Source organism: Homo sapiens, chromosome 1 (assembly GCF_000001405.40).
Source record: "Homo sapiens chromosome 1, GRCh38.p14 Primary Assembly".
NCBI classification, from domain to species: Eukaryota; Metazoa; Chordata; class Mammalia; order Primates; family Hominidae; genus Homo; species Homo sapiens.
Window position 1 is genome coordinate 209,868,476 of NC_000001.11, and position 7,823 is coordinate 209,876,298.

At 41.4% G+C, this 7,823-nt stretch overlaps 1 annotated feature.

Moving 5' to 3' along the window:
* Positions 7,080-7,581: an enhancer, noted in NCBI's record as "NANOG hESC enhancer chr1:210048900-210049401 (GRCh37/hg19 assembly coordinates)". NCBI's record gives its function as "activates a minimal SCP1, AML or CMV promoter by ChIP-STARR-seq in naive H9 embryonic stem cells {active_cell/tissue: H9 hESC(naive)}" and the evidence as "EXISTENCE:reporter gene assay evidence [ECO:0000049][PMID:30033119]".

Sequence of the window (7,823 nt, forward strand, 5' to 3'; positions counted from 1 at the left end):
ACATGAATAGAATGCTATAGTATGTGATCTGTTACAACTGGCTTCTTTTACATAGCACAATGCTTTCAGGATTCTTCCATGTTATTATAGCTTATGTTGGCACTTTGGTCTTTTTTGTAGTTGAACATATTCCACTGTATGAATTTAACACATTTCATGTATCCATTTGTCAGTTGATGGACGTTGGGTTGTTTCCACCTTTTGGCTATAATAAATAATGCTGCTATAAACGTTCAGGCACAAGTTTTTGTGTGGACGTTGTTTTCATTTCTCTTTGGTATACAACTAAGAGTGGATCGCTGAGTTCTATAGTAACTCTATGTTGAACTATTTGAGAACTTGCCAAACTGTTTTTCAAAGCAGCTGCACCATTTTACATTTCCATCAGCCATCTATAAGGGTTCTGATTTCTTCACATTCTCACCAACGCTTGTTGTTATCTGAATTTTTTATTCTGGCCATCTTCGTGGTGGTGGTATCTCATCGTGATTTTGATTTCTATTTCCCTGTTAACTAATGGTGGCAAGCATCTTTTAATGAGCGTATTGGCAATATCTATCTCCTTTTATTCTCACAACTACTTTATGAGATAGGTGGGCTATTAAATCCATTTTACAGATGAGAAGAATGAGGCATGGAGAGTTGAAGTGACTTACCTAAGGTATACAGCGAGTAAGCGTTAGACTAGGATAGGAACTCTAGCAGGCAACCTTCATGCTCCTGTTAGAACACACTGCCTTTGCACAAAAGAACAAGAAGATTTGGGGGATGGCAGGGCAAGAAGGCAGGGTAGCCAAAGAACTTTTAAGAAGAGGAATATCTGCTGTGCCATTTAAAATAGCTCATGTTGCTGCATAGAAATCTCCTTCATTTCCATGTGTGAATGGTTATTTTGTGGAAAGCAAGGAAAGAGGGCCAAGTTCTTTCATGTTTGGGTTAAAGCCAGAGTGAAAATAAAGAACAGCCACAAGCAATAGGGCAGGGATCAAGAACTCAGCTGGGGCAGAAAGCTGGAGCCAGAGCTAATAAGATCATATAGATCCCTTAATAATTCACAGAAATATGGGAGAGGGCTGTAGCTTTCCACAGTCCAGACAGTTCAAACAAACCTTATCTGGATCTGAAGGGCCTGGGAGAGCCTCAGCTGGGTTTCATTTATAAAGTACTTTAGCACAAGTATGGTCATCCCCTCCCCAGTTCACCCCCACCCCGAAGTTCTTAGCCTTGTATCCAAATGAACATGTGGGCACTAAAGCCTGCTCTTTCCTCCTTCTATCTTTGTATTAACACTAAACAAACTGGCCTTTGTTTCTGACCTTGAAGAGACAGTAAAATCAACATCATTCTCCAAAATATCCCTCAAAGATGGGCCTATAAGAATTCAGAGAGTTTAGAGAATCGCTGCTTAGAAGCTTTCTCCCCTCAAACTCATCCCAGGAATCTTCTCCCTTTTACTCCCACTCCCACCCTCAACACACCCCCCACCCACACACACACACACAAACTTCCCAATTCACTGCTAGACTGCTTGATGGTTCTCTCTGGTGAGAGAAGCCAGGGTAACAAGGAGGAGGGAATGAGTCTGCAAATCAGGTATATTTTTGAATTTCAATTCTGTATCCCCAGCATCTGTCTGCTGTTTTATCAAGAGGACCAGAGATCATTTAGGAATGATGGACAGTCCTCTGAGGAAGCAATGCCAGAAGCATGATGAGCAGAAATGCTGAACAAGATGCTGGCTGGAAGGGAAATCAATCTCCCAGGCCGATTAGTTTGGGTGGGAGCCAACAGAGGCTGAAACTTGTTACAGCTACAGTCATCTTTCTTGCTACTTTTTTTTTCTTCTAGATCCTGGAGTAAAATCAGATTAGCCTTAGCGCTCAAGGTAGCTAACTGGTCTGCACATGCCATGGCAATGTCTCAAAACAGATGACTATTATTAAAAAATTATGGAGAAATGACATGATGCATCTCTCCATTTGGTCTGTAAGATACTTAAGGACAGGGGCTATGACCTTTCTTCTATGATTTATGGAGTAACTAGCACAATGCTGGGCCCAAAAGGTCACTAAACAACTTGCTGAAGGGAATAGGCTTAAAGTAGACACGAAAGGAACTTTCTTTTTTAAAAAAATAAAACAAAGAGACTTTGTCTAATCTCCCAGCTAAGAAATGAAAGCCAGATGAGTCCAATTCATTATGATGCATAGAGAATAAGATGGATAATTATAAACAGAGAAGCCCACAGAGAAGTTTGGAGAAGGGGGTTGCTATTCAATGTTAAAAACATGATTCTCATACAGATATAGTCGAAGATTGATCTAACTTATTAGTGAGGGAACCAGTAGGAAGACAAATCCAAATCAAAGGAGAATACAAGAGGCTGTTTTCTATGATCATTGAAAGTAAGGATGTAGAAGTGGGTTTGCAAAGCTAGGCAAAACTGTTTAATGTCCTACACAGCAGCAAGATCAGACCCTTTGGGGTTATGTTTTCTATTTGACAGAATTCTTTTGCCTTTCTACTGAACAAGAGTCATTTGCAATGTAGCTATCTTTTCAAGTTAACATCTCATTTTACAGAGTCTGGCCCCTAATCATGAGTAATTGGAACCAGAGAAATGCTCTCTCTCTTTTTAAAAAAATCCTGGGCTGGTATAGCAGGTGACAGTAGCAGTTAGAAGTGTTAATCCTCTTATCTGCCTCTGTGAGTTTAGATGGAAAAGTCAGGGAAGGAAAAGTAGGCAGAGTATGCAATGTGCCTAGCGTCACTCTTGGTAAGCTACCACTTGCCTATAAATAAAAACCACAATGCATGATCACCCATAAACCCAGAAAATGGTTTTCAGAGTGATCTAATCCAACCTGCAATCCCTGGCTTCTTTTCCTCCCCTGACATTTCCATCCACATTCTTTAGGTGGAAGGTAGAAATAACCACCTATCTGAAGTGAATAGACTTACCTCTCCTTGTCTGACAGCTTAAGTCCTAGACTTATGAGCGAGACTTTCCTATTAGGAAGAGAATTAAATCATTGTTAAACAAGTGTTTGTTTTCTTTTGCTTTTTCCTTCACAGGCCAGAAGCCATTTCTCTGGATCCCACTCAAGTTTAGGTGGTTGTGCCAATAGCATCAACTGCATGGGCTGTGTTTATAGACAAGTGGTATCTGACAGTAAGGGAATTGCTTGTTGAATGACTTGGAGGATCTCCCTGCCCTATTGAACCAGGATTAATAAACTCAGCGATGGAGCTTTGGAGGCTTTGCTGTCCACCTCAGGGGATATGGCTTGGGAAGAACTCAAATTCACCTCTATGATATTCTAACACTGGCAGAGGCAAATGAGAGGATTAACACTTGTAACTGTTACTGTCACTTGCTGTACTAGCCTAGGATTTTTAAAAAAGAGAGTATTTATCTGGTTCAGCCCCATTTGCTGCTATGAACCCTCCCAGCCCCTGCCTTTTCTTCCCTGCTGGTTCTAGGGCACCCCAAGGAGCACTCCACATGGGCACATAGCACAATCCTCTGGTACGTAACACCAGTAACCATCATTTCTCTCTAGTTCTGCCCTGAATTCCTGTGCTGAGTTTCATTCCAGAGATCACATACTCCTGTGCAGCTACCTGGACACCACCAGAGCACAGACACCACCATTCATGCCAAAGCCACTGGCACCAGGGCCACAAGTGCCCTGTGCTGTCTGATGCCCTCCATGCCCCTGCTAGGGTCTGTGGAATGACTCACTTAATTCTCTCCTTATGGCAGCCCTTTCTGCCTAGGAGTCAGGCAGGTGCCCTTAGCACCATCTGGGTTTCTCTGCTCCTCTCTCATGGACCCAGATTTGTGCAGCTCTACCCTTTGCTCCTTCAGGTGAACTCTCCTGGGGGACTCATGAGAAAGGCCCCTTAGGGGGCCCCATGGCCCATTTGGCCATGATTCTCCAAATATGCTCAGGGGTGTCTGGATCCAAAGTAAATAAAGTTGAGGTTCAAGTTGAGACACTGTCACCCTTTAAAATGGACATAGATGGGACAATAGAACATCACCCACCAGCTCTGAAAGGAAGTTCACAGATATTTCCTTAGCTAAGCACAGAAACATGGGGACACTTTCCTAGCCCCCTCTGAATCACATCTTCAACGTGAACATTTGTCATTCCAGGGAAGAAACAGGAATATTCAAAAAGAGAAACTGGAAAGTGAGACCTAGAGTATAGTCTCAGTTGTACCATTAATGAGTCTGAGAAAGTCATTTCCTCTCCCTGGCCTCAATTTCCTTTTATGTCAAATGAGAGTAGTACTCTAAACTGGGGGTCAGCAAACTTTCTGAGTAAAAGGCCAGATAGTAAATGCGTAGTCTCTATTAGTAATACAGTTTCTGTCACAACTACTCAATTCTGCAGTTGTAGTACAAAAGCAGCCATAGGCAATGTGTGGCCGTGTTCCAATAAAACTTTATTTACAAAAACAGGCAGTGGGCTGGGTTTGACCCACAGGCCATATTTTGCCAACCCTAGGTGTAGATGATCTTCAGCATCTTTTTAAATAACAATAATTCCTTTAGGTGAGAAGTGGATTTTTTGATACTACACATACAATTCATTTAAATGTAAGACCCCCAATATAATAACTCCAACCATTTTTTTGTTGCTTTGGATAACATGTTTTCTTCTCTCCTTCAGTGATAAATCAAACCTCAACAGAATTTATTTAGAGGCTAGAATAACAGGTCAGGTGATGCTCTCACTGAGGAATTTGACAATATACATGACTAATCCTAGACCTCAAAGTGTTCACAATGTAATGAAAGAGACATACACATAAAGGCATAATTATAAAGCATTACAGTAATTGCTATAATCATGCTATTATCCATTATCAAGACTTAAGTTCTACTACATCCAAATTTGAGATGCTAGAGCAGACCAAGTTCAAGGACATTGCAATATAATACATGTAGGATATGCAGAAAATTGGTGGGCCATCTGAAATGCATTCTTGTGAAAATTGAGGGTGTGAGTTTTCAGGGAAGTCTTGACTCAGAATAGGACTGGTCCACAGAGCAAGGCTGTGTCAGATTACACTTGAGACCTAAAGAGTGGCCATCTGTGATAAAAGTCAGACCTTTGTTCAACTACAAAGAAGTAAGGCGTAGTTATGATACAGAACATGTGAAGAGAACTTTTTGTTCTGGAAGGTGCACATGACATTCCATTTGAATGAGAAACATCAGAGAGAGGCGTGCTTTCACTCTCACAAGGCACGATCCCCAGCTGCACAAAGCTTTGTATTTCTTGTTATATTTCCTTTTTCAGGGAGATGAGGGGCTGGTGGTAGAGATGCATGGACCACAGCAAGTTATTGTGCCATGATTTTGTCTTTGACGTACTTATTTCTGAAATTCATTATGACTTGAAATATCCTTTTCATAAAGACTGCAATAAAGTCCTTTGACAATATGGCTAGATGGATCAAAGGGCTTATCTCTGTTGAATCTTGAGTAGCCACCCAGATATCACTGGAGAAGCAACAATGCAGGTAATTCAAAACACCCTCAACTCACATTTAGTTGACTTTGGGATGTAGCACAGTTTTGCAGGAATATATTTATATTTCTTATATTTCATAACCTAATAGAAGCTTAAATAGTTACCTCAGCCTTCATTGCACAGATAATGAAAGAGAAGCTTAAAGAAGAGAAATTAAGTACTTGCCCAAGGTCACATAGTTAGTTAATGGAAGAACCAAAACTAGAACCTAGATCTTCTGATGCCACATTTCAAGCTCCATGAACCACTGGTAAGAACTACCTTTTATGCTGGTACACAGTGTGTGTACAAGATTACACCTATAATGATAAAACTGGTGGTTTTTATTCTGTCCTTTTCTATTTGATTATTTCCTTTTTAATAGTGCTGGTCATGGTCCACAAACTGACTACGAGGTCTCAGCTAGCATCTGTAAACACTGCTGTGGATCACAGAATTGCTTATATGCCATCCTAACCATATACCAAATGATGCTTTCATACAACAGTGAAAAAATATTTCCCTTGGAAAGATTACATTTCTACTGTCACTTTTTGTAAGTGAGTATAAAGAATTTGTGACTATTTGGTTTTCTTAGGGAAAAAAGATTAAATATGCATAAAGGGAGCCACAAATCTGTCAAGTATTTTCAGACTGCATTCAAAAACTCACCGTTTCCATGAACTCTTTCCACACTAGACTCATTGAGCTCTCTGATCTTCTCAACACTGATGTACCTTTTTGCAAAACATTTAGTCACTGATCCTAAACTTCAACTTTATCCCCCTTTTTCTAGAAAAATTAAGAAAAATTGCACTCACACACAAAAAATTCCATTGGCATCAGGGGACTCTTACCTGCTTATTCCCAAATCTGGGAGGTGTGGTGGAAGGCTCACATGTATGATACAGAAAGACAGGCATCCATACATGTCAAATACTATATATCTGAGAGCTGAAAATATGATGGGAATGCAACAAAAAGTCAAAATCAAGTGGTCCAGGATGGAAATTTGGCTTAAAAAAAATCAGTCTGGGTACAGTGGCTCATACCAATGATCCCAGCACTTTGGGAAGCGGGCGGATTGCTTGAGCTTAGGAGTTCAAGACCAGCCTGGGCAACATGGTGATACCCTGTCTCTACCCAAAATACAAAAATTAGTTGAGCATGGTGGCGTGTACCTGTAGTCCCAGCTACTTGGGAGGGGCTGAGGCAAGAGGATCACTTGAGCCTGAGAAGTCAAGGCTGCAGTGAGCCATGATCACACCACAGCGCTCCAGCCTGGGTGACAAAGCAAGACCCTGTCTCATTAAAAAAAAAAAAAAAAAAAAAAAAAAAAATCAGATTTCTAATGCAATTTTAGAAACTTTGCAGCCTGTGGATACCACAGACTCAACTGGATTCAACCATGCATTAGTCCTCCTCCCCAAACATCCTTCAGAGTTACACATTTCCAGCAAGTAATGCTTTGAAATTCATTTTGTTTTCTTAACCACCAGGCCTGCAGGAGATCAAGGCTAAGGGCAAGGAGCGGAAGGGAGACACACAAGATGCTCAAGTCTTTAAAAATCCCCATTGGGAGAATCACGCTACAAATGGACAAATCACATCCTGAAACGGTGGACTCTCTGAAGACCTTACAAAACAGCCTTCAGGCCTGATCTGTCTCCTTTCCCAGCTTGAACTGTGTTTTCCTAAAGTGGTTTCACTTTCCTCCTTCTCCAAAAGGTGGCATCAGAAAGGAGGGAGCAGGAAGGCACAGGCCAAACGCTCATCTCAATGGCTGCCTCAGCCATGCTCTGACAAGTGAGCTGATGGGAAAATTGCTCCTAATTAAATCACTTCATTAAAAAGAGACCATTTTCCAAGCGAATGCACTCCGCAGTTCTCGTGGTGGGTAATTTGTTGTGTTAATAAGCTGGAGAGGTTGAATTCCAAGGTTGCAGCCGCTGACAGCCTGCAGAAATAGGGACCATATTTTGGCAATGCCCTTGCCCTGTCGAGGGTACCGAGGAAAGCTGACAAATGGCAGTTCCTTATAATAGTTTTGCTCACTGGAGACCTGAGGGGCTGAGAATGATGTTTTCTAGTCTGTAGGTTTAGGATGCCAACAAGATAAAACAAATACCCAGAAAAAGGCGCTGTGTCTTTTGTTCGCTGAAAAATAAACAGGGGAGGACTTCCCTTTTGTAGATCCCACTGTGATAGAGGAAGAGGGTGCTTCTTCAGCTGTATTTGAACCGAAGCATGGAAAATTGCCATCTGCATTCAACTCTGTGGTTTTAGGGCAGCTGG